The 25,322-nt window shown below is 53.1% G+C and overlaps 1 protein-coding gene and 1 long non-coding RNA gene across 27 annotated transcripts in view, besides 6 other annotated features; one reads left to right on the top strand and one right to left on the bottom strand.

Annotated features, from left to right (window-relative positions):
• Positions 4,522-5,450, bottom strand: HDAC4-AS1 (HDAC4 antisense RNA 1). Of its 3 annotated transcripts, none has more exons than NR_135576.1 (2): positions 4,917-5,166; positions 4,522-4,811 (listed from the first exon to the last, which is right to left on the bottom strand). It is a non-coding gene; the product is annotated as an HDAC4 antisense RNA 1 (long non-coding RNA). The 3 variants fall into 3 exon arrangements; NR_135575.1 differs by lacking the exon at positions 4,917-5,166 and adding an exon at positions 5,350-5,450 and having other exon boundaries at positions 4,529-4,811; NR_135577.1 differs by having other exon boundaries at positions 4,531-4,811; positions 5,006-5,138.
• Positions 4,658-4,787: an enhancer, noted in NCBI's record as "active region_17390". NCBI's record gives its function as "activates an Ori minimal core promoter by ATAC-STARR-seq in GM12878 lymphoblastoid cells {active_cell/tissue: GM12878}" and the evidence as "EXISTENCE:reporter gene assay evidence [ECO:0000049][PMID:35858748]".
• Positions 4,918-5,187: a silencer, noted in NCBI's record as "silent region_12503". NCBI's record gives its function as "represses an Ori minimal core promoter by ATAC-STARR-seq in GM12878 lymphoblastoid cells {active_cell/tissue: GM12878}" and the evidence as "EXISTENCE:reporter gene assay evidence [ECO:0000049][PMID:35858748]".
• The window catches only part of HDAC4 (histone deacetylase 4), a 353,482-nt gene continuing 333,396 nt past the window's right edge, over positions 5,237-25,322 (top strand). For 15 of the 24 annotated variants that reach the window (NR_198957.1, NR_198958.1, NR_026664.2 and 12 more), the window contains exon 1: positions 5,866-5,908. The gene's annotated coding sequence lies outside the window, so the exon portion shown is untranslated. Of the gene's footprint in view, positions 5,485-5,865; positions 6,510-25,322 lie in introns of those variants that run through there. The other 9 variants (XM_047446489.1, XM_047446486.1, XM_047446483.1 and 6 more) reach the window with 3 other exon arrangements.
• Positions 5,458-5,577: a silencer, noted in NCBI's record as "silent region_12502". NCBI's record gives its function as "represses an Ori minimal core promoter by ATAC-STARR-seq in GM12878 lymphoblastoid cells {active_cell/tissue: GM12878}" and the evidence as "EXISTENCE:reporter gene assay evidence [ECO:0000049][PMID:35858748]".
• Positions 5,598-6,037: a silencer, noted in NCBI's record as "silent region_12501". NCBI's record gives its function as "represses an Ori minimal core promoter by ATAC-STARR-seq in GM12878 lymphoblastoid cells {active_cell/tissue: GM12878}" and the evidence as "EXISTENCE:reporter gene assay evidence [ECO:0000049][PMID:35858748]".
• Positions 6,048-6,217: a silencer, noted in NCBI's record as "silent region_12500". NCBI's record gives its function as "represses an Ori minimal core promoter by ATAC-STARR-seq in GM12878 lymphoblastoid cells {active_cell/tissue: GM12878}" and the evidence as "EXISTENCE:reporter gene assay evidence [ECO:0000049][PMID:35858748]".
• Positions 20,143-20,993: an enhancer, noted in NCBI's record as "H3K4me1 hESC enhancer chr2:240307588-240308438 (GRCh37/hg19 assembly coordinates)". NCBI's record gives its function as "activates a minimal SCP1, AML or CMV promoter by ChIP-STARR-seq in primed H9 embryonic stem cells {active_cell/tissue: H9 hESC(primed)}" and the evidence as "EXISTENCE:reporter gene assay evidence [ECO:0000049][PMID:30033119]".

Below are 25,322 nucleotides of genomic sequence, written 5' to 3'. Positions count from 1 at the left end.
TTCATGTTTGCTTGGTGACCGTGGTAGCTACCCAGCCGATGCCTCTGAGCCTTCCAGGGTCCGTAGCACCTCCTGGAACAGCAGGAGACCTGGCCTCTGGCCTCGCCTCAGCACCCCTTCTAGCAGCTGGAGCTCCCTCTCATCTCAGCCACGCTTCCATGGCCAGTGCTCCCTGGGCCCCGCAGATGCGCCCTGGTGTCTCCTCCCCTTGGCCTGTGGTGCCTCTCTTGTCTCATTTCCCAGAGATTCTCTGATGCTCAGAGTGGGGTGTTTGGGGGGCTCTCTCAGAACTCCTGCTTGCCCAGCCTGGAAGCATGGGGGGCCTTACTTAACCCCTGTGGGGCAGCACTTGACCACTGGTGTTTGGAAGCTGATCGAAAAATGCTTCCTCCTCCTTCTCAGAGATGAACAGTCTGGCCAACTGCACATCACAGCCCAGGACTGGCTGTCCTTCCTTTCCTGTCCCATCTCCAGCCCCCAGGTCTGTCACTCCTGCCTCCTGGGGCCTCCTCCCAAACCCCTGCTGCACCTGTGTCCTTGTATCAGGCTCTGCTTTTGGACCTGAGCTAAGGTAGTTGGCACTTAAATTCCTCAGATAGCAATCACGTGCAAACTTACTTCCCTGAACAGCAAAGGCCTCATCCGGAGGACTTTTTCCCAGTCCCCCAGCCTCCAGCCTCTCAGCTCTCGGCCTCTTCTCTCTTCTCTTCCTGGACTCCACTGCTCCTGCCATTTCTAGCCACTCCCTACCTGGCCTCACCCCCTGTAGTGACTTCAGCTCCTCCTTACATGCTAATGACCCCAATATTTTACCTCAAAAAACATAAACTAAAGCAAAAATCTCAAGCCAACTTTGGTAGCTTTTGACTGGGTCTGCTTGGTCAAGTTCACTTCCATTGAATCAGTCACCCAAGGCTGAAAGCTGGGCAAGGGGACCCAGGGGAGCGTCCATCACCAGCTGTTTTGTTGGTCTCTTGCTACTTATTTCAATGAGCTGGTTGTGTCATCCCTATCTGGAGCAGGTCTTGGGTTAAAGTGTTGGAGGGCAGAGGGTCCGCTGAAAGATATGGAAGAGTTGAAAGTCTTAGGGCTGTAATTTTCTGTCCTTGTGATAGTTTGCTCAGAATGATGGTTTCCAGCTTCATCCATGTCCCTACAAAGGCATGAACTCATCCTTTTTTATGGTTGCATAGTATTCCATGGTGTATCGATGCCACGTTTTCATAATCCAGTCTATCATTGATGGACATTCGGGTTGGTTCCAAGTCTTTGCTATTGTGAATAGTGCGTACCACTCATAGGGTGGAATTGAGCAATGAGAACACGTGGACACAGGCTGGGGAACATCACACATCGGGGCCTGTCGTGGGGTGGGGAGAGGAGGGAGGGACAGCATTACATATCTAATGTAAATGACGAGTTAACGGGTGCAGCACACCAACATGGCACATGTATACGTATGTAACAAACCTGCACATTGTGCACATGTATCCTTGAACTTAAAGTATAATAATAATAAAAAAAAGAAAGTTTTAGGGCTGTGAGAAGAGCCCTGAACTACCCCACCCCTGCTCCCTCCACTGCAGCCCAGGCTGCACCTCCCACATCTGTCCTACAGCCCCCGGCTCGTGCCCGCTTGACAGAGTCTCTCAGACCTTGCTGTCTCCTTAGTGAACTTCATGTCCTTCTTGAATTTTTTTAAATAATTATTTTTTTACAAAAGAAAAACATGTTCACTGAAGAATTAAGAAAACAAGTGAGCAAAAGAAAACAAGAATCTCTCATTTTCCACTTAGAAGAGGACACATTTTTCCTCATTGTTTTTGTGTCTATAAATGCTTTCATTTGTAAAAATTACATCACATTGTAATGAGGTCTTCTTGTCTTTCTTTTCCCTTGAAACTATAAAGTGAATTTCTTTCCCTGATATAAAACCCCTTATTTTTGGTGATATATGCATACATATTCATCCCAACCAACCATTGTTTCTGTGGACCTTTTAGCTAAATGTTTATCAGCATCCATGTTTGTCTCTTTGAATGAGGTTCTAAAATTGCAATCACTAGGTGAAAGAAGGTGCAAATTTTGCAGGTTTTATTTATGAGTGTGGTTAAGTAGCTGTCTGAAAGTTTCTATCAGTTGACACTCAGTTGCTGTATAATAGCGTTTATTTCCACACATTTGCTTTTATCAAACAAAGCATTGCACTTCTTTTATTAGAGAACATCCTGTCATGTTTATGGGCGTTTCTTCTTTTGTCTTTGCCTCTCCTTGTCCCTGCCTGCTTTATGTATGGGCTGCTCCGCTCTGAAAACCCTCCTGCCTGTGAAGATCAGCCTCTACGAATCCCACGCAAACGCTTTCCCCACTCACTTGTCTTAATTTTATTGTGTTCTGAAGCACCAGAAGTCCCCCCTTCCCCTCCAAACTGGGGCAGCCACTGCCTTCAACAATTTTTTTTTCTTCTGAATTAAAATCTTCCTGAGAAAGGCACAGCTCTTAAATTCAACGAGTTTTGATCGGTACGTACCCCTATGCGATCTACACCCCAGACAGAAAGTGTATTATCTCCATTGCCCGGGAAGGTTCTCGTGTCCTTCCCAGTCCACCCTCTGTAGGCCCCCAATCTGGAGAGAACTGTTCTGATCTCTACCCCATATTTGGCTGAATTTCATATTAACAGTCATACAGTGTAAACCCTTTTGTATCTGACATCTTTTATGATGTTCTTGACGTTCAACCGTCTATAACAGTTCATTCTTTTTTATTGCTGAGTAATATTCCCTTGTATTTTGCAGTTGGGGTTTATCCATTTTCCCACTGATTATACACTAAATTTTAATTACAACATAGCTAAATTCTCAATTATTTCCCTTTATGACTGTTGACAATATTCTTTATATTCCACAACCCTATAGAGATGTCCAGAGTTTTTCCTTAGTACTTTTTTTAAAACTGAAGTCTTTACTCCATTTGATGAGTAAAGATTTCAACTTTAATATCTTCTCTTCAAATGATTAGCAGGTACCCTACCATATTGCTTTCTCACTGATTTGAAAAGCCACTTTCATTATACTTTAAATCCCTACAGGGGTGGTATTAAAACTAGTCAATAGTTGGTGAGGCACAGGCACTGACCAGCCTGCAAAGCTGCCCATTAAGAACAGCTGGAGCACACTGATCATACACATATCGGCTGGGTATCAGCCTGGAGTCAGTACATTTGCTTGGGGCCATTCCTTTACTTTCTATTATTTTGCATTGATCTGGGCCAATATCACGTTGTTTTCATTTCGGAGCCCAGATAACATGTTTTTATTTTCTGGAAGCACAGTTTCTCCTTCATTACTCTTCTTTTTGACTGCTCTCAAATCTTTATTCTTCCAGATGAACTATTTAACGATTTTCACAATTCCCAGGAAGTTCTGTTGGAACTTACTGTTACATTTAGGTACTTAAAATGTTTTTGCTAATTGAGAATGTTTCATATTTTCTAACACATATGTAAGTGCTTAGCACAAAGCTCACCACATACTGAATATGCAACAATTATTTAATTACCGATTGAATGTTGTCAGTTATCTGAAAGTTACTGTTATTTGTATATTTTATAATTGGCCAGCTTGCCGATCGTAGCCAGTCTAGGAGTTCTACCAATTTATTGGATCCACCAACCCTAGATTTTAAAATTTGAGTCTTTGATGCTGGTTTCTTTCAACTGTGAGAACACGGAGATTCCTTTGAGTGTGATTCATTTGACTCTGTCAAATACCTGTATGTGAAGTCCCAAGCGCGAATGCTCCCAGGCATTGGGGTTGTCACCCCACCTTTCTCCTTATACACAGCTCACAGGATAGCGTGTTTGCTTTCACTGCACACTATCGTACTGAATTGCTCTGCACTGGCTGTGCACCGGTCTCCTTCAGACAGCCCCTCTGACACATAATGGCAGACACAGCCACCCAGGCCAAGTTTCTCTTTTCCAGACATGGCGAGTGAGGTTCTTGCACCATCCACCCAACGTCTGCGTGGTGCCTCACTCTGCTGGAGTGCCTCTCAGGACTCCTGTGAGGACTAAATGGCACGCAGCAATGGGGCTACCCATTCCTTCTAATGGAAATCTACTTTTTAAAAATTACCTCTGCAAGCATTAGATCCCAGAGCTCGTTTCACGTGACTTTTTGCGCAGGCACTTCTCTTTGTACGTGAAAAACTAACTTTGGTAGACTTACAGGCAGGTTTTAATATTTTCTCGTGATTGTATGTTTTTGAGAATCCTGTCAAATGATACTGAATCTTATCTAGATGTTAGCTAGCTACAGACCCTGTTTCATTCTACATGAAAATTAGATAGTGCACCGTTTCCATCAGCAGCCAAGTCTCCAAAACCCCGTAATTGCTCTCCTTTTCTTCAGCTGTATCTTGTTTTAAAGTTCTCTAATTCACCATTCCTTTCCTTCTAAGTTTAGCCTAAGCATTTCTTGCAATGACCAAAGTTTTCTAATTATTAATGAGATATTTAAGGAAATGTAAAATTGGCATTTTTATTTTGCTAACTGTATTTTTATCCACATAACTAGTTTCCCCCACCAAGAATCACAGGTCGAGAATGCTGTAAAAACGGATCCTTTCTCAGCTCCTAAAAGGAATGGCCTACAATCGAAGCGAACGCGCATCTCCGCCAGGTCCGCAACCACAGGCCCACGCCGTCGGGCCCCACGAACCGGCGCGCGCTGTCAAAGGCGCTTCCTCCCTGGAACGCGGGATTCCGGGGACAGTGTGTGCACTCAAGTTGAAAAGTTGTCATACTCCTGTTGGAAAGAAACGGAAACATCACCACCAGGAGGGTGGCCACTGAAGACCCTCGCCGACACCTGCTGGCAACCAAAGGCGCTTCCGGGGATCTACGGGCCGACCTGTAACTCAACACAAGCCTCCCAAGCCCTGCGGCCTTAAAACAACGCCCACCCGGGCGGTGCGCCGTTCCCGCCACCTCCACGCCTGCCTGGACCCGGACTCGAGACCCTGGCGGCGGGCCGGGCTCCCTCCGCCTGAGCAGGGACGCGGCGAGCGCATCCCACGACCCTCGGCAGCCGTTGCAGGCCTGGCGGACCTACACCCCACACCCTCACGGCCGCGTTCCCGCCGCGGGGCAGGGCGAGGCCCACGGCGCCTGCGCACTCAGTGACCGGGCCGCCCTGCGCCTCCGTGCGCACGCAGCACCACGTGACCCACTGCCAGTATCCAAGATGGACGCCGCGGCGAGGCCTGGCCGGCTCCCCGCGTTAGCCTGCACCCCATTGTGTGCCCTCTAAGCGCGAATTAGGCTCGCAGACATGCGGTGCTGACCGCTAGGCAGCCATGCGGGCTACCGAGTGCGACCGGACACGGCCGGGGCCCGTGTTTACGGCCACTACTGGCCCCCGGTCCCTGCGCCTCCTCAACCGCGAAGCACCCAGCGGCTGGCGCCTGGAGCGTCTTTTGGTACGCCCCACCCTCTAGAATTGGCAGCTCCAGCAGCCAATGAGGTCCAGGACGCGTGCGGGGAGGCGGGCAGGGGTGGAGCCTCTCTGCCGCTCATAGGGCATCCGGCCCCGCGGTTGAGCAGCCGCTGGGCGAGGGGTGGGAGCAGACGGGCTGTGCGCAGGTTTCAGCGGGCCAATGGAAGGCCGGCCAGGCGCCCGGGGCGGGCGGGCGGGAGGCGGGGCCGAGCCGTAATTGACGAGCTCTTCATTAGAAACCAGGCGGGAGGGCGGGGCCCGCAAGGGGAGGTGACGCAAGGCTGCCGCAGCCAATGGTTGGCGAGCCGCCGGCTGGCTGGGCGGGGCCGGGCCGGCTGACGGGCGTGCGGGGTGGCCTATCGCCGCCTGGCTCGACGCTGGAGTGGGGAGAAGCATCATGGTTCAACGTGGGTCAATTTTTTGTGAATGAGGAGGGGAGGTTGTGGGGCCGCCGCCGCGGAGCACCGTCCCCGCCGCCGCCCGAGCCCGAGCCCGAGCCCGCGCACCCGCCCGCGCCGCCGCCGCCGCCGCCCGAACAGCCTCCCAGCCTGGGCCCCCGGCGGCGCCGTGGCCGCGTCCCGGCTGTCGCCGCCCGAGCCCGAGCCCGCGCGCCGGCGGGTGGCGGCGCAGGCTGAGGAGATGCGGCGCGGAGCGCCGGAGCAGGGCTAGAGCCGGCCGCCGCCGCCCGCCGCGGTAAGCGCAGCCCCGGCCCGGCGCCCGCGGGCCATTGTCCGCCGCCCGCCCCGCGCCCCGCGCAGCCTGCAGGCCTTGGAGCCCGCGGCAGGTGGACGCCGCCGGTCCACACCCGCCCCGCGCGCGGCCGTGGGAGGCGGGGGCCAGCGCTGGCCGCGCGCCGTGGGACCCGCCGGTCCCCAGGGCCGCCCGGCCCCTTCTGGACCTTTCCACCCGCGCCGCGAGGCGGCTTCGCCCGCCGGGGCGGGGGCGCGGGGGTGGGCACGGCAGGCAGCGGCGCCGTCTCCCGGTGCGGGGCCCGCGCCCCCCGAGCAGGTGGGCTCCGGGCCGCCGGGAGTGAGGGCGGGGGCGGGCGGGCGCCGGGGCCGGCCGGGCGCCGTTTATGTAACTTTGTCAAATGCTGTGAGTTTGCAGAAAAACGTCCCTGCCGGGGGTCCGCGGCCCCGCGCTTGTCGTCGCCGCTGCGAGCGCCCGGGGGGTCGCGGGAGGGCGGGGGGCTGCCCGGGACCCGCTCGGCTCAGCCCGCAGGGCGCCAGCAGGCCGAGACGGGGCCCGGTCCCGCTCGGGGGTGGGATCCGCGTTTGCCGGCGTTGCGAAAACACACCACGGAATCATAAGCAAATTATCTCGTATTTACATTGAGCGTTGAATTATTTGACACTGTTATAGGAGGAGACCGTGCGTATCAGTTGGAAAGGCCGGGGGTGGAACCCAGTGTACTCATTTAATGCACATCAAAAATTTGTAATAACTTGAGGCAGCTGATATGAGTGTTTTCTTTATTGCATGTTGTAAATTGACCTGCTGTGACACAGTTTTCAAATAAAGCGTTGCAGAAATTAAACTTAAGTTATTTTAAAACTAATGACTTTCTTCACTAAATCCTAATTGCATGACTGTAGAGACCTACCTAATTGCTTGCTGAGAGCAGTTCTGCTTGCTCTCCGTGAGGGAGGAAAGGGCCTGTGCAGTCACTTTGCCGCCCCGTTTTTCTCTGTTCAGGCTTTTCTGTTTATTCCCACAAATCACCGAAGCAGTTAAGGCCTGGGAGTAAGCCTGTAAACAGTCCTGGCCCAGCGCCAGCCCAGCAGGACTGGGGGGATACTGGCAGGTTTGCACCTTGACCTGGTTTCACTTTTTCTTTTGTAATATGATCGTGGTTGCCTGGAGTTTTAATTGCTTCTGATAATTCTGTGCATTATTTTCGGGACTGTCCAAAGAAGGCTGGTGTGGTGGTTTCAGGACCTAGCCAGGAAAGGTGGTGGTGGTGGCTGGGGAGAGGGAGGGTGGAAGGGAGGGAGATCGAATTAAGAAAACTCAGCTGCTTGTACACAAATATACACTACAGCAGTTACAAAGCAACAAAAGTTATTGCAGAATTTTGCAGTAACTATGGCAACACAATTACTCTATTATAATTGGAAATGCAAAATGCCACCGAGTTAGAAGTTTCATCAGAATGGAGTTTTGGATATCAAAAATATGTGAAATTTAATTTTTTTTCAGGTAGCTCTTGTGAATTCTAAAATCTGTGTTCAATTACCTATTTTTAAGACTGATCGGGCTTTCCCAGATATTCTACTCTCTGGGATCTGTGGCATCTTTCCCCAGAAGAACTCACATTTGTGTGGGAGGGAAGTATTTTCATGCCTTAAAAACACACACCCCAACACATTGTAAGACTTCTATAGCTTTCTGTGTTCTGGGCTTTTATTTTAGAGATCAAATCCCATCCTAAAGAGAGCAGTAATCAATTAGAAAAGAAGCCGGCTGTACTCAGCAGGCAGATGTAACGCTGCCCTCTTTAGGGTTCTTTCTCCTGCAAGGGGAGCTGGCAGCAGGCATGCCCCCGGGGGAGCCCTGGGCTAAGGGGACGGGGTGGAGGGAAGATGACTGGACTGCATATGGGCCTGGAAGGCCTAGGGACGAAGGACAGATGTGGCCTCGGAGCCCTGCACCAGAGAGAATGTTCTGTGTTCAGCAGCTTCCTAGCCATGCAAAATAAAAATCCCCAAATGCCATATTCTCGGAGGCCTTGGGGGCTGTTGCTGTAGCAAGATGGACAGGACAACCTGGCACGCTGGCCACGTGCGGCTCAGGCAGCCCATCTGGACTCTGTGGCCAGAGACCTCGTTGAGAAGAATGCCCTATGGATGTTTACCAGGAGGACTCTAGTGCTGGAAGTTTCCACACATTGTGGGGTTGCTGCAGTTTAATTTTGTTATAACTCTTTCCTTTTAACTACTGCATATTTATGCCCAGTAATCGACTTCCATTCTCCAGCTTCATTGTGAGGTTTCAATGCAGCATGAATGGCTTTGAATTCCAATCCTTTAATGTTGGGGGTGGCACCAAAGGAAAGGCGACTTTATGCTGTCTTAATTGCCGGAGCAGAAGAAACATTTCATCACTCCTGTAGAATTCATCCATACCATTCTCTATTGAAAACGGCTGGGCTTTCATAGCTCAGAAGCTGCCATGAGTAATATATTAATACCTGATGTAGGGCGCGAAGGAGCCGCAGAGGCCGAGAGAACTGCCGTTGCTGAGAGGCAGCGGGGCGACAGGCTGTGGCCGGGCTTTCCTCCGAGGCTCAGAATTGATGACTAGCTGGGGATGGGGGAACTGAAGGGCGAAGGGGCCCAGTCTCCACCTAAGCTTGGGGCTGTGGAACCGAGACTGAGCCCCTGCCCTGTTGTTGGCAGCCCCCAGTCTGTCCTGGGGTAAGGAGTCGGAAAGGATGGATTTGGAGGGAGTGTTTGTTTTGATTTCAGGTGGTCAGCATATGCCCTGCCGTGTGGTGGGCTCTGGGTTTTTGGCCTTGACGTTAGAGGCGGGTACTGCACCTTCTGGTTCAGGTCAGATGAGGGGTGCCATGTCAAAAGTGATGCTACCTTTGAACAGACCTTAACTCATTCATAAGCGTTTCTGTGGGAACAAGTGTCACTAAGGTCAGTAAGTTCTCTTCATACGGTCAGTTTTCTTCTCTTGGGCTTCTGTGCGTGGGAAGAGTGGGACCTGTTTTGGGGTGGCATGAGGGCCATGGTGCCTGCAGCATTAAATGGCCATGTCCCCTTGCTGCAGCCTCACTGACAAACCTCCTACTCACTTCCTAGAAGGAGGGTCAGGGTCCTACATGTCCCCTTGCTGTGGCCTTGCTGACACACCTCCTACTCACTTCCTGGAAGGAAGGTCGGGGTCCTGCATAGATTGCCCCCACCGTGACTTCCTGTATCACTGTCGGGGGATGAGGATGTATCCTGGAGCAAGGAGATGATGCCACGAGCAGCTGTCACGTGCTCCCGTAGCTGACGCCAGATGAGCACCTGCTTGGGGCTCGTGCTGTTTCATGCACTCACCATGTAGGTGTCAGCACAGTCCTGCAGGTGGGCTCTACCTCTGGAGGAACTGGGGGTAGAATGAAATGGACCATGTGCCACCCCCTGCATCTCCAGTCCCAAAGGCCAGTTCCTCTCCGTGCCTCTGCTTCTAGGCTGGTGGTGACCTTGAAGCTGAAGTTCAGCTTGTCGAGGTGCTTGGGCGAACACAGCCTCTTAGAGAAGAGGACGATTTGGAATACCTTTCTAGTTCAGTGTCGTTAGACTTTCTAGTGCTGTGTTGACTGTTCTTGGCGCTGTTACAGGCGCGTTTCATAGGTCTGGGCAGTACTTCTGGCTTTCTCATGCTGTCTTATGTCACGTGTGGGACTGCAGAACTAGAAGACATCATGTTCTTCTCCTGCAAAGTCCCCAGGACGCCTGGAGGCAGGTGGGGGTGACGGAAGGGAGCTAATGCTCCAAGTCCACTTCAGCCGGAGCAGCTTTTAGTGTTTGTTGTTCGGTCTGTTGATTACCTTGGAAGATTTTATTGGAAGAAAGCATTTGAGGACCAAGTTAATCTACTCTTTCAATACCAACCCAGAAACCTTAAAGAAAATCTTGACAGATTTAATAGGATAAGAGTTTTTTAAAAAATCTCTTTGGCAAAAGACTCCGTCAGCCGGGCTAAGAGACGAGAGAGAAAATACATACCACATTATGCCTGTGTAAGCTTAACAGTCAATATATAAAGAGCTTTTACAGACCAATAAGGAGAGCATGAGATCACCATTGCAAGATGAGCAGAACGTATGAACATTGAATCATTGTGCCAGTGATGAAAGGTTAGCATTACTAATCAATTCAGTGTGAAGGAGATTCCCTTTATGCCTATCATATTGGCGAGTTTGATGATACCTGTTGCTGGTCATAATAATAATTTCTATTTTGTAAGGTTTTTGCAAAGTTTAAGTTAATGTATGGAAATTTCCTTGAATAGGGCCTGGCATGTAGTAAGCATGATATAAATGTTGGCTGTTATTTATTATCATTTGCTCTCTGGAGAGACCCATATGTATTATTATATAAAATATAATAGGGCTGGGCGAGGTACCTTATGCCTGTAATCCCAGAACTTTGGGAGGCCAAGGTGAGAGGATCACTTGAGCCCAGGAGTTCAAGACCAGCCTGGGCAACATAGTGAGACCCTCATCTCTACAAAAAAAAAAAAAAAATCAGGCATGACGTCGTGTGCCTGTAGTCCCCATTACTTGGGAGGCTGTGGCAGGAGAATCACGTGAGCCTGGAAAGTCAAGGTTGCAGTGAGGTGTGATTTTGCCACTGCACTTCAGCCTGAGTGACACAGCGAGACCCTGGGCTGTCCCCCCCAAAAAAGTTTATATATGTAATGTATAAACATAAAATAGTGATTACCGAATTGCTCTCTAGAAAAGTCTTAAGTGTCAAAATCTTAAATGCCATTCTCCTTGTCCCCACAGTTCTACATTTTGAAATCTATTCTAAGGAAAGAAGATAAGTGTGTAGATATCCAGACGTGTGTGGAGGTCGGGGCTGCATTATTTATAAAAGGAGTACTTGTTAAACCTGCTGGCATTTCTGCACTGTGGCATCCTCCATGTGTAGACAGGCAGAAGTGTGCAGTGTAAGAGGGAAAGGCGGGGTCTGGAGCAGTCCCCGGGCCACTCCTGGTTTTAAGTACATGGGTCTCTAAGGTAACCATCAGAGGTGAGGAGACGGGGTACACTTTTCTTTTATACATGGTGGTATTGTAGAGATTCTTTTGGTAAGCGTGTATTACTTTTTTACAGTAGTAATTTGAAAACATTTAGATATCTTCATTGGAAAGAAAAGTACTCTTTAAGTCCTTGGCAAGTTGATAAATATGCTTTGCAATAGAAGAATTTAGGGGCATTTGTTTTTCTAACTCACATGTAAGCTCTTCAAGGTGGGGACTGACCCTCGGGGTCTGAGCGGGCTCTGCTACAGCCCATCCTACAAACAGTCTCCCAGGTTTCCACCAGAAGCAGGTTTGTACCTCTCATTCCCTTGCTTGAAACCCTGGCATGACTTTCCTGTATTCTTAGGATCCTAAGGTCTCAGGGCCCTGGAAGGCCTGCCTGATCCTGGCCTCTGTTTTACCAGCCTCATCTGATAGCACTTGCTGTGTTTGTGGAGTTTCAGCTGCCACCTGCTTTACTTTCTAGCTCTCTCTAAGTCCCCTTTGACCTCGGGGCCTTTGCACACACTGTTCCCCTTCCTTGGAATGGCCTCCCTTTACCTTCCTCTTCTCCAGCCCCTCAGTTCATGCTCATCCTCTCATCCTTTGATCCCCTGTTAAACTTAGCCTAATAGCTTTTTTCCTCCTTTCTAACAGCATCCCATTGTGCAATTTCAGGAAGGAGCTCATTGTGACCTTAGTTGTTTAATGCCACCTTTTCTACTAGCTGGGGCTCTGTAGGATTGAGGGGCCCTGAGGGCCTCATGCCTGCTCTGTACCCTGTGCTTGGCAGTGTAGGTGCTCGAAGAATGAAAGAAAATGAATGAGTGAATGAATGAATGGATGAGTAGGTAGCCCAGTGAATGGCACAATGCGGGCCTTGGGTGGGAGAGCTGGGGTGAGGCCCCACCTCTGGCCTGGCCCCTCTGCGGGGTTCTTGCCAGTGCTCTGGAATTGCCTGTTTCCTGACACCCCCTGCCCCCATCTGGGAACTTCTTGGTCCTGATTTTGGAGATTACATGCTCCTAAGGAGATGTCATAAATGCAAGTGGAGGGAATTCTGTGATGCAGAAAGGAATGGGAGGGAGAAGGGCCTTCAACACAGCTGTCGAGTGGCAAATGCGACTGTTGTGCCAAGGCCAAGGCAGGTGTGTGCAGCTTGTTCTCCAGCCGCTTCGCCCAGGGCCCCGGCGTGTGAGGAGGCGAGTGGTGCTTTTATGAAGAAGTTTTTCTCTGCTTGTTTTAAATTAGAATTAATGACATTATTTAATCACTTCTTATTTAGCGTCATAATTTTAATATGATACATTAATATGTTTGTGTACATAAACATTTTGGAGTCTGCTCTGTTTAAAAATGTGAGTGTTGGGCTTTGTGAGTTTACTGTTGTTTATGAAGTACTCCGTCTGTGTGAGTCAAGTGCTTTTGCTGGATTGATGTTTAAGCTTGAAACAATAAATCAGTTCTTAGGACCTGAAAGTCTGAACCAGCATTCCAAGTGGGAGTATTGTTCAAGCGGTGATGGAATTGCATTTTCCCTTGGGAATGGCCCATCATCTGGTTTATGTGTTGCTATTTGCTGGAGCGGTTCTTTTTTAAACTGAGGAAGAGAAGTTTCTGTGGTATCTCCACTGGCCTCCCTGGTGGTGGGGTTGGGGGTGGAGGGGGGGTGGTCCTTGGGGGCCATGTTCCCTGAATATTTCTAATTGATTAGTTATTATTTTGCAAATACTCATTTTACACCCCAGCCCAAGTACTAGGTTTTACATGAGATGAGACTCAGTTGAACACATTCTCTGTGCCAGACGCAGTGGCCAGCCCCATGACCCCAGGCTTGATCAGGAAAACTGGCCTCTGCCCACAAGAGGCTTTGGTGTTGGTAGGGACAGAGGAGAAAAAGGAGCTAAACAGGCAGGTGCACACGGGTCACCATCCTGAGAACCAGGGCTGTGGCTGGAGGGCTTGCTTGGTAGGGAGAGCCGTGGTGCAGGAGCCAGGCCCAGATGAGGAGGAGGAAGGGGAGGCTGGGTGGGTGGGAATGGGGTGTGGTCCTTTTTAGCCAGAGCCAGAGTTTCGGGGCTGCATTGTGAAAAGGGCATTGTGGCCAGATGGTGGCCTGGTGACTGAGGTCTCTGAGGCCAGAGTGCGTGAGCCAGTGATGAGCCGGGCCAACTGGCAGGCTGCCTGGGTGGGGTGGAGGTGTGGTCTGCACAAAGGACTTCCTTGCGTTTTCATGTATGTGTAGTCTTCTTGCATTTAATGGAGAGTTTGCTTCTGTTCTTTCTATTTTGTGCACTGGTGCCTGGCTCCAGCTGGGTGATGGACCTGATCTCTCTTGTTCTAACTTTGTGGAGGCAGGCCCATTCAGATGCATCCCAAGGAGGCCTCCAGGTGGTCCATGGCGCGGCTAGGCCCTCCTTGGGGCACATGCTTGGTGGTGCTGTTGTGGGGACTTCTGCATGAAAAGCAAGGGCAGCTTCCAAAACAAGGGCAAGGTGAAGAAGGTGGCTCACACGCCGGGGGTCCCAGTCCTGTGGCTCTGAGACGGGCCGCATCCAGAAGGGAGGGGGTTCCTTCCTTCTAGCAGTGCTGGCGAGAGCTTCCTCTGTGCCTAGGTCCAGGATTCTGTAGAGTAGCTGTCAGGACTGAAGCCTGCCAGGAGTCTGTGTAGAAACCGTGCTGGAGGGGACCCGCTGGGGGACCCGAGCTGGCACCCCCAGTGCCACCGGTTTACACACCAGAATTCCGGGTCTGAGGCTGAGCCCAGCCTGGCCCATCTGCAGGGGCCTTGCTGGCTGGCACCGTGCCATGTAAGTCAAGTGGCAGAAAGTGGGCCCCCAGCAGGTCAGCAGAGCGTGGCCAAGGGCCCCTGAGCCTCAGTCCTCCCTGTGGCCTGGGGCTAATCCCAGCTGGCTATTGAGGACTTACCCACCCCCAGGACTCATGTCCGAGCCCCGTAAGCTCAGGGGTTAGAGTGTTCTAAGGAGGCTGACCCCCATTCCACCTCTGGGGGCTGTGGACAAGGAGGGGAAGATGGCCTGTGGGTCCACACAAGCGGGGTGTATCTTAATTAGTGATGCCAACTGTGCCTCCTTGCTTGCAGGATGTGGGTGGCCCTCTGACCTTTTGGACCTTTAAAGTGAGCCATAAAGAAAACCATTGGGAGGTTCTGGCATATTAAAACCCCCTCTACTATAAAATTTACATCAGATTTTGCACTGAAAAAATCCTCATAGGTGGTCACAGTCCCCATTCTTTGGAGAACACTTGTTTGCCAGCTCAAGGGCTCTGTGTTGGAATCCGCCCCTTGGCTCTCCAGGTCAGAAGGATGCATCAAAGGAGATGTCACTGGGGTGCCTGTGTCTTCTCGCCTTTCGAGTGCCTGCCCTGAAGCAGCTTGCTTTCCTTTGCCCCTGAGTGTGCAGCACAGCCCAGCGTAGCTCGGTTGCTGGCTGGGGCAGCAGCTGACCTGCAGAGCCGTTACGTGCATGCCCGCTGCCATCCGAGGGTAGCAGCCGGGCTGGGCCATCCCACCCCTGCCCGGCATGGTGGCCCGGGCAGGATGGGGCCTGGTGTGGGAGCATCCAACTCACCTCCCAAGCTGGTGGGGATGTTGACCTTTTGGGCTTCGGAGTTCACAACCAACCATGTGCAGTGCTTCCCGCGGTCCCTCCCTGAAGAAGAGTGTCTTTCCATGTCAGCGTGCCAGCTTCAGCACACGCGGGCTGCGTTCTGACGAAGTTCTGTTTTCAGAATTCTTCTGGTTAAGCGGAGGCCAGAGCTGAGGCACGTGGGAGCTGCGGAGGGCCTCTTCTCTTGTTTCACGTATCCTTCTCCTGGTTCCTCGGTGCTCTCGTGGGTGTGGGGTGAAGGGTCTGATTGGTGGATGTGCTCTCTCCTGCTCGTCACACTGCCAATGTGCCTGCAGTGGACAAGAGTGATTTGCAGTGATGTCCTGTGTTCCATGGCTCTGGGGTGTTGAGTGAGCATCGGTTGAGATCCCAGCTTCACTGTCATGACCCCATCACCTCAGTGAGTCCTTTGTCATCTGCTGAGTGAGTGTCTCTCCCGCAGAGACTCAGCTTTCCTCTTCCTCCTCCCCCGCTGGCTCTGAGGACACACAGCCCTCTCTGCTGGCAGGTCTTGGGAGGAATGAGGAGTAGGGTATGTCCCCTGCCCGGGGCCTGCTGCTGACCGGGCCTTGGATGCACCTGCAGGACTTTCTGAAGCTCCTGCACCTGCTCAGGGTGTCTCTGCAGCAGGTCGTGGTGTGGTGGACGTCTCCCCGAAGGACCTTAGTACAGTTTGAGAACAAGCTCTCGTCTGCCTTTGTCCTTGCAGGGACTGTGTCATAGTTTACAGAGATTAGACTCTTGAAAGCTCAGAAGCACCGTGATGCTTCCCACGGACACTGTCAGCCCCCAGGGCATGCTGCGCTTGTTAGGGACCTGAAGGGCCAGCGTCCCTACCCGGTATGCAGAGCCCGGCTCGTGATGGTGGCTCAGCTGCTATGGCATGTCCAGATTGCGCCTTGGCCACAGTGTGATTCGTATCGAGGCCGAGCCGAGGCCCCTGGCCCTGAGGATGACTCGAGCGGTCTGATGGACACTGTGCCACGGCTTTGCCGTCTGTCATGCTTCCCAGTGTGCTGGGAGAGGGAGCTGCCCTGAGACTGTGGCTGTGCGTAAATCCAGGCTGCCCCGCTTTCCCTCCCCTTGGTTCTTTCTGTCCCGTCTTCACTGCTTCTGATTTGCATGAGCAGGGACCCTGAAGGACTGTGTGCATTTTGCCCACTGCCTTGGTCAGAGGGCTACCGGGTGTGGCTGCAGTGTCTCAAGGGAGGCTGCGTGGCTGGGTGCTCAGGTCCAGGCTCGGGGCTCCAGGCATGTGGCGGCTCCTGGTAGCAAAGTGAGGGGTAGTGCCGCTCTGGAGGGCAGTGAAGGACAGGGAGATGGGAGAGGTCAGGGCTGGGGCTGCGGCCGCATGGTGCCCCTGTGGGCACAGCTCCTCCACAGGTGGAGGGTGGGAAAGGCACTCTAAGGGGATTTTTGGGGGTGGCTTCCAATATATATATATATCTTTTGAGACAGAGTCCTGCTTTGTTGCCCAGGCTGGAGTGTACTGGTACAATCACCACTCACTACAGTACAATCACCACTCACTGCAACCTTGATCTCCCAGCTTAAGCAGTTCTCTTGCCTCAGCTGCCTGATTAGCTGGAACCAAAGACGCATGCCACCATGGCTGGCTAATTTTTTGTATATTTTGTAGAGATGAGGTTTCGCCATGTTGTCCATGGCTGGTCTCAAACTCCTGGGCTCAAACAGTCTGCCCACCTCGGCTTACCAAAGTGCTGGGATTACAAGCGTGAGGTACTGTACCTGGCTGGCTTCGAGGGAGGTATTGAGCAGGGAGGTATTTCTGGTAGCTCCCCATCAGATAGGATCTCGCTAGGTACTGTGGCCTCAGGGAATTGTTTGGCTTGTTTTCCTAGAAAGTGCCGGAGGAGGAAGTATTCAGGCACTGTTTGATCCAGCTCCTCCACAGTGTCATCTGGGGCTTGTTTCTTTGCCCTACCTGGGGAGAGTCAGCTTCATGGGATACACAGGCCCTGCCCGCTGCTCCCAGGGTTATATACACTGGCTGGTTCACACCCATCAGGAAGGACAGCATCTTTGTCTTAGCAAGTCTTGGATTCACTCTCCTTCGGTCTGGCTCCAGCCACGTATTGAACTCTGAACCAGTCACTGTGACCGGGGTGCAGAGCGCACCGAGTGGCTCAGCCTGGGTGCTGGACATGCCTCTTCCAGAAGCCGGCTGGGGAACTGGCCTCCCTGGTATGGAATTCACTGATGTCAGGAAGGAAGGGGGAAGGGGACAGATGCTGAGGAGGAAAGCCGCCAGTAGCGTCCTCAGTGAATTTAGCTCCTCGTGCCTCATGAATCCCAGCAGCAGTTCCAGAATAGTCTTGGTGTGGGCTCAGTGTGCATGGGTGCCACACTGAACGCTCTGCGGACCTCGCCTCAGAATCCCTTAGCGGGCCTCTAGGAGGGCAGGGTGGGCCCCATCCTGTGTCCGGAGTTGGTTCCTTCCAGTGGGTTCTTGGTCCCACTGACTTCAAGAATGAAGCTGCAGACCTTTGCGGTGAGTGTTATAGCTCTTAAAGATGGTGTGTCCGGAGTTTGTTCCTTCAGATGTGTCCGGGGTTTCTTCTGTCCAGCAGGTTCGTGGTCTTGCTGACTTCAAGAATGAAGCTGCGGACCTTCGCGGCAAGTGTTACAACTCTTAAAGGTAGTGCGGACCCAAAGAGTGAACAGCAGCAAGATTTATTGTGGAGATCGAAAGAACAAAGCTTCCACAGCATGGAAGGGGACCCAAATGGGTTGCCGCTGCTGGCTGGGGTGGCCAGCTATTATTCCGTTATTTGTCCCCACCCACGTCCTACTGATTGGTCCATTTTACAGAGTGCTGATTGGTGCATTTACAATCCTTTAGCTAGACACAGAGTGCTGATTGGTGCATTTTTACAGAGTGCTGATTGGTGCATTTACAATCCTCTAGCTAGACAGAAAAATTCTCCAAGTCCCCACCCGACCCAGAAGTCCAGCTGGCTTCACCTCTCAATCCCAGAGGCAGAATGCGGGCTCCCAGGGCCTGTGGGAGAAGCCCTCGGCAGGGTTCTCTGGCAGTGGAGACTAACACACAGTGGCCTCCCTGTGTCTCTGCTGCTTCCTGGGAAAACCCGGGGCCCTGGAAGTCAGAGCCCAAGTGTGCCAAAATGGCCAGTGGGAAAGGTGGATAGAAGTAATGGCAGCTCAGCAGGGAGATCCCTCCACACACTCCCTCCGCTGATGACTGGCTGGATGCAGAGAAGCCTGGGGCCCTTAGAGTGGGGAGTGGGGGCCAGGAAGGGAGGAGCCTGTGTGGCAGAGTCCCTGCGGCTGCAGCCCAGTGACCCCAAGGGGCGGGGTGGGGGCTCCAACCCACAGGATGGTGGAGGACGGATCAGGGCCATGGCTGCCAAAGGGGGGCCCAGAGGGTGGTCCTTCCAGCCGTGCGGTCCAGCTGCCCTCTGGGGCCAGGCACCCAGGTCACCCAGAGGACCAAGGCTCTGCTGGTCATCTGAGGATGCTCCAGAGAAGGGTTGAGCCATGTTGGCTCATCTGTCCCATGCAGAGGTGGGCAGGTGCCTGAGAAGGCCGATGCAAACGTGGCCCGGGCCCAGATAGTCCTGGAAGCCGCACTGACCGCATCTGCCTCCCTGCGGGCAAGTGGTGTGTTAGAAGGAATGTGCTTTGGGATTAGGTGGATGAGCTTCAAAGTCCAGGCTTGCGGCCCTCCAGCGAGCGGAGAGCCACAGTGGTCAGTTTGCCACCTCCCTCATCCGGGTCCACCCATCTGCAAAGCAGACTTCAGGGTTTCCTCCTTGAAGAACTGTTGTCAGGATAAGTAACACAGGAGGTCAATGGCCCAGCCTTTCCCCAACCCCAGGTGCTATGAGGTGAATGAACTCGCTGCCTCCCTCGGCTTCAGGGAGGACCTGCCCAGCCGCGTCCTGCCATGTTTCTGCAGTGGGTGTCTTCTGTGTGCTGGGCCCCATGTTATGACGTGTGGTCCGTTAGTCCCTGCACACCTGTGGCGTGGATACCCGTCCTCCCGTCTGATACCTGTGGCCACTGCGGCCCCAAGCGAGAGCGGTGGGGTGGGGGTGTGGATCTGAGCTGGCTGCTGCTCCTGAGCCCACGCCTTCCACTCCCCTTAGTGCCCATTGCAATGCGTGGTGGAACCATGAGCCCCAGGCAGGAGGCGCGGCTCCTCCAGGGGCGCACTCTTGTTGGAAAGTAGAGTGAGGAGGAGCTCGGCTTTTTAGGCTTTTTAGGGCCCAGGTGCATCTTGGTGGAGCCACGTTCCAGCTGCTCTGGTGCCATTGACCCAACCGCTCTAAGCCTCGGTTTTCTTCTCCACACGATCAGAATTGCAGTATCCCTGCCCTGGCTGAATTGTTTTGGGTATAAAGCGTATTGTCCCTGTCAGCTGGGGCACAAGGCTGGCACAGATGCTGCCTGAAGACAGGCTGGAGCTTTCTCTGGTCACAGAGTGCTGTGCCTCGTCCTGTCTCTAGGCTGGAGGGAGAGGCAGAGAACCTCAAACCTGCACACCTCTAAGAGGAGGTTTCTTCCAGGCGAAGGTGGGGGGTTTTGTAAAGTAAGGGGTGGGAGGCTCTCCTGGGCATTGCGTTGGTGGCGGCCGGCCCTGTGGTCCTGGCCAGGCACGCAGCGGCGGGACTGAGGCTGGAAGTGGCCTCCTGGCCTGGGTGCACCGGGGGATCTTCTGGCCACTCTCCAGCCCCTGCTGCAGCCATTCTGGTGCTTGTGGGCCCGCGGCTGCTTCAGTGGGTGACCCCATCCAGGCCACTTGTGAGCAGTCCCCTCTTCTCTGTCTTTAGCTCCCACTGAAGTTCTAGGACTGCAGCCCTAGTGAGTGTTCTTCCTCCTCAACACACATGTACGTGCGTGTGCACGTGCCACACACAGCAAGCATTCCCACCCACACACTCGTGCTCCCCGGACACGCACACACCCTCATACAGATAGACGCACGGACAGACATCTGCACACACGTGCTCACGCACTGGAGTCGTGTGCAGTCTGGCTCCTCTGGCGTGATTCCTGGTGAACCCAGAACAGCCACTCACCTCTGATCGCTGCCACCTAATGAGGAAGGGTGGAGTTTCTCTAAAATGGGTACATCTGATGGTGGTGAGGGTGGCGAAATCCTCTCTCATGCACAGTTCTCACCCAGCTTCTCTTCTCTCCAGGGAGACCACTGTGTTTTCACTGTTAGAACTGGGCTGTCTCTGGACAAGGGCCAGCCTTGTTACGAGCAGAAGTTCTCGGTACTGTGTCTGGGATGTGGCTCTTGCTCCTCTAGGTCGTGACTACGTTGTTTATGAAAGTCAAGCTCTTACACCTAAAGCCGGTGCTCATGGGATTTCCTTACAGTGCATTACATTGTTAAATTTCAGGCCCAGACGTGGTCTGGCGGCTTGTCTGGAACACACAGTGGTGCTCCAAGCATGCCTCTGCATGGACGCCTTACCCACCAACATCCGTGGGCTCCAGAGGCCTCGCACCCTCCCCTGGCCGGCCACCCCGGGATGCCCCCAGGACCTGCACCCTCAGCTGACGCTCCTCTTGGGAAGGTGGTTTTGAACCTCTGTCATGTGGTTCCTCCCGTGGTTGGGACACACTCATCTGCCTCTGGTGTGACCCATCTCTCTTTGGTCTTTCCTCGTCCCTCCAGTGCCACCCATTTTCGTACAGAAACTGAGGATGCCTCTAATTCCGTTTGAGCATTTGAGTCTCAGTGTCTGTGACCTTGACTCCCCCTGTGCGGCCGCCCCAGCCCCAGCAGCACAGTCAGGACTGGGACCTGACAGTGGCTCTGAACCTCCGAGACACAGGCCCCAGCCTCTCTTCCCTGTGCTCCGACTCTCAGCCTTCCTTCTCTGCCCTGGTCCTGGCATCCTGTGGCTCATCATTGTCTAGAGTAAAACGCAGGCCCCTCTGCCTTGCCTGCCGGGTCTTCCAGGGTTTGGCCCAGCCTCCCCGACCCAGATTCCTTCTCCCTCATCCTTGGGTCTGGCCACATTGTTTAGCCCTTGTTTAGGGCACACCTGAGCTTTCCTGTCCCTGGGCCTCTGTTTACCTTGCCTCCGGGGCTTGTTTGGGGCTCCCAGAGCAGAGCTGTAGGAGACTGTCTTGGACCGCTTTCCGGGGCCCAGTGGCCTCTTTTTGATTCTGTACCGGCAGGAAGGGTCATCACAGCCTCCGTGGCTTCCTCGGCACTCACCGTGGCTTGCCTGGCCTCCTGTCCCCTTTGTGAGTTGTAGTGAGTAATGGACGAGGCTGCAGTCAGGCTCCCTGTGTCCTGTTGTATCACATGGTCCTTCTGGGGCTCCTGGGGTGGCGTCTGTAGAATCAGGGACAGGCGTGTGCGTGTTCCTTATCACAGGCCGGCTTTGCCCACTGGTAGGCTGTGCTGTGCACGTGAAGCTGCAAGGGCTCCTGGCACAGGCAGGCAGGGGGCTTGAGGCTGAGACTTCAGAGGGAACAGGGGCCCCTGTGGCCACTCATTTCCATGCTCTAGCTCTGCCTTCCCGCTCTGGCCACCAACAGGGAGCCGGGTGGAGGCAGAGCTTCCCCGCTGCTGAGCTGGGCAGAGTCGTGGGCCAGGAGCCTCCTTTTCTTCAGTCCTCGGAGGTGACCCGGAGGCCCCCGGAACCTCCTGACACTGCCAGCCAGTGCTTCCTCCTGCTGAGAGCAGCCAGCCCGCTGTGTGCCCCCATGTACTGAGCTCCAAGAGTGTCGCCTCTGGCTAAGGGAAGCTGAGGGCAAGGCTTCTTCCTGAGGCTTGGAGGAGACCTTTCAGCTGAGGTGCTGGGGATGCTGGGGAGAGGGCCTCCACGCAAAGCAGTCAGGGGCTATGGGCCTCCGATTGTGCCAGTCCTGTGGAGGCGGCCGGGAAGCAAGGTGCCCTTCTCAGGAGAGAGAGCCAAGATGGAAGGGAAGGGATGGGAAGGGCTCTTCCATGGAAGCCTTGTCCCTGTCCCTGTGCACAAAATGTCCGCAGTTCTGTTCTCCTGTATCCTGGCTCGCTGGAGCCCTTGGGTGTGCACCTCCCCATCAGTTTCTGGGCCCGGTGGGGTGCAGAGAGGAGCCCTGAGCCCCTCCTCAGGTCCTGCCTGTGTCTCATCTTCCTGGTGCTTGGTCCGAGGGCTGATGTATTTGGAAGTTTTATTTAAGCTGTTGTATTGTTAAAGTGTCATCTTTGTATGTGTTTGAATACAAATCGGCATTTTAGGGATCAGAAGCAGGGGACAGAGCCGTGGGGTATATGGTGCTGGGGCCATGTCCACTGAAACAAAGCAGACTCATTGTTGCCGCCTAGGACCCATTCCTTCGGATGCAGGGCAGTTTTCCCTTCTCTTTCTTTTCTTCCGTTTCCTTTGCCTTTTTCTGAGATAGAGCCTTGATCTGTTGTGCAGGCCGGAGTGCAGTGGGACAATCATGGCTCACTGCCGCCTTGACCTCTTGGGCTCTCTCCATCTGCCTGCCTCAGCCTCCTGAGTAGCTGGGACTACAGGCGTGCACCACCACATCTGGCTTTTTTTTTTTTTTTTTTTGTAGAGACAGGGGTCTCACTATGTTGTCCAGGCTGGTCTTGAGCTCCTGGTCTCAAGGGATCCTCCCACCTAGGCCACCTAAAGTTCTGGGATTACAGGTGTAAGCCACCATGCCTAGCCTCAGTTTTCTTTTTCATTAAACATTTCCATATGATAGAGAGAGGTACTAAAATATGTCATTTCGAATGTGGCTTTAGGGAGATCATGGATCTTTTCAGCCCACGCAGGTATCCCAGATTACGAACAGCTGATACAGAGGACCTGGGATCTGGGCATCCCCTAATATTAGCCTGGGTGTCTTTCCCATCGATGTGGTGTGCAGCCAGGTCCCCCTGGGTTTTCTGCCTTTGCAGAGCACGATGGAGGGTTGCCCACGAGCTGCTTCTCTGTCTGTGTCCGGGCTGTTCGTGGCTTCCCATTAGAGGCGAGAGTGGACTGCGCCTCGTTACTCACGTCAGTAGGCCTCTCGCACGGTGCCCAGGTGCCAGCGATGGCAGCTCTTCCAGCCGCCCTGCCCTCCAGTGGCTCTCACGTCTGTCCTTGTCTGGCCTTGTTGGCGGGGCTGATGCTGTCTGGGGGACTCTGTGGGACTGTGTGGATGAGCTTCATCCTGTCTGCATCCTGTTTCCACTTTGTATCATTTTTCTCACTTTCCAGTCTCTGTTGTCCATTCCTGCCCCGGCCATCGTTGAGGGAGGGGCCATCAGCTGGCCCGAGGCAGTGCTCTACCCTGCCCCCCACCCCACGCCCTTGAGTGAGAGCTGCTGAGGCGGTGTCGTTGCCGCGCTTTCTCCCACCAGGTACAGAGAGGGAATAAATGGTAATGGATTGATCGGGCGCTCTTTGAGCGTATTGGGTTTGCAAAACTAACTGCTTCCTTGTTGCTTCATTGTGGCCCAGACTGCGCTTGCCGTGGGTTTCTCTGTGGCGCTCAGAGGAGCCAGTTGAGGAGGCACCTGTTCCGGCTGAGTGCTTAAGAAGCCGACCTCTGCCACCCCTGCCCCTGCCTGCCCACATGTCATCAGATCTGTTTCCAAGCCCTGCTCCATCTCCCGAGAGGCAGCTTTATCCTTCTTTCAGATTCTGAACTCACAGACACTGACGTTTGTCCAGCCTCCAAGCGAGGATCTGCTCAGTGGTTATGCACTTTACGGGAAGGTGCAGGGCTCAGAGCAGTGCCAGGGCCTCCTGCTTGTGAGGGGCATCATGGTGGAGGATTCCCCCTGTGGGCTGGAGCCAGGGTCAGGGGTGGCCACGGGAAACAAGCACATCTTCCTCGACAAGGGGAGCCTTTGGGTGAGCGGGGTGAGATCCGTGAACTGGACTGTGAGACCGTGTTGGAGAACACTGGGTATTAAGCCAACCATGCCTGTAACGTGGGCAGTTACACAGTGAAATGAACACTTCACTTGAGTTGTTAGAAAGTGTAAGCTGTTGCTCACGCCTGTAATCCCAGTACTTTGGGAGGCCGAGGTGGGTGGATCACCTGAGGTCAGGAGTTCACGACCAGCCTGGTCAACATGGTGAAACCCCATCTCTACTAAAAAAAATACAAAAAAGTTAGCCAGTCGTGGTGGCTCATGCCTGTAACTCCAGCTACTCAGGAGGCTGAGGCAAGAGAATTGCTTGAACCTGGATGGCTGAGGTTGCAGTGAGCCGGGACCGCAACATTGCACTCCAGCCTGGGCAACAAGAACCAAACTGCGTCTAAAAAAAAAAAAAGAAAAAGAAAGTGTAAGCTGTTAAAGAAAGCTCCCATCACGGTGGGCTGGCTTTTCCTGGCCTGGCCCCACCCACAGGACCCCTGGGCTGTTTCTCCCCTTTGTGGGGAGGAGTCAGGGAAGCCCTGTTTGGGGGCCCATGTAGAGGGCAGAGCACTGTGGCTCCGGGGTTCAGTCTCTGAGACGTGGCCCATCTGGGTCACTCTGGGTGGTCCTACCCATTACATGATCAGAAAGGCACAAAGTAGAAAATGTGTATCTTGTATTGCCTGAGAGTTTTATTAAAGCATTTCCAGTATCATTAATATTAGAGGAACTAAATTGGTAGAATAGATCAGCAATACAAATAAGCAGTTGCTGTAATTGGGAAAAATACTAATGATTTAATTTGCATATGTGGCAGAAGCGACGTTTTATGATTGCTTTGATAATAAAAGACAGGCTGAGTATCACCAATGCACGCAAATAAAGAATCCATTAATTCTATTCATTTAAAAAAATGGTATTCCCAGCTTCTGCAGCGACAGTTTAACAATTAGCGTGCCTAATTTTAATCTGTTACGTGGGTGCAGGTCCTGACTAACTTGGGAAGGCAGCTCCTGCTGGTGTGAGTCTGTGCTGTCGCTGATTGTGCTGAGGAATATGGAGATCCCAGCCCTTGGGGAAGCAGAGCCCTTGGCCCTAGGGAGCCGTATGTGATCTGTATCACTGTTGGCTTTGGGGGCCTGAGCAACTGGGACTGTGTTGCCCTGGCTTCCAAAGCCCAGTGAGCAGTCTCAGCTGATGGAGTGTGTGTGTGTGACGTGGAACTGGGGGGCGGTGACTTCAGTCACTCTGGCTTGAGTCTATTTTAGGGGATCTCTCGCCTAGGAGGTTTTGCACCCTCCTCCCCCAGGGGACATTTGTCAGTGTCTGGAGACAGTTTTGGTTGTCACATCTGGGGGCGTGGTACTGGCCTGTAGTAGTTTGAAGCCAGGGTTGCCACTGAACATTCTACAGCACATGGGACAATGAATTGTCCGTCGCAAATGTCATTGGTACCTAGGGTGAGAAGCTCTCTTGTCATTAAGTCCAGAACATGAGCATTTATTTAGCATTAGAAGTAAATGGCACCGCATTTGCCCAGTATGGATTTTGTTCCACTGTACAGTCATAGAACTTAAATAG

Source organism: Homo sapiens, chromosome 2 (genome assembly GCF_000001405.40).
Source record: "Homo sapiens chromosome 2, GRCh38.p14 Primary Assembly".
Taxonomy (NCBI): domain Eukaryota; kingdom Metazoa; phylum Chordata; class Mammalia; order Primates; family Hominidae; genus Homo; species Homo sapiens.
This window is presented reverse-complemented; position numbering and strand designations above follow the sequence as displayed.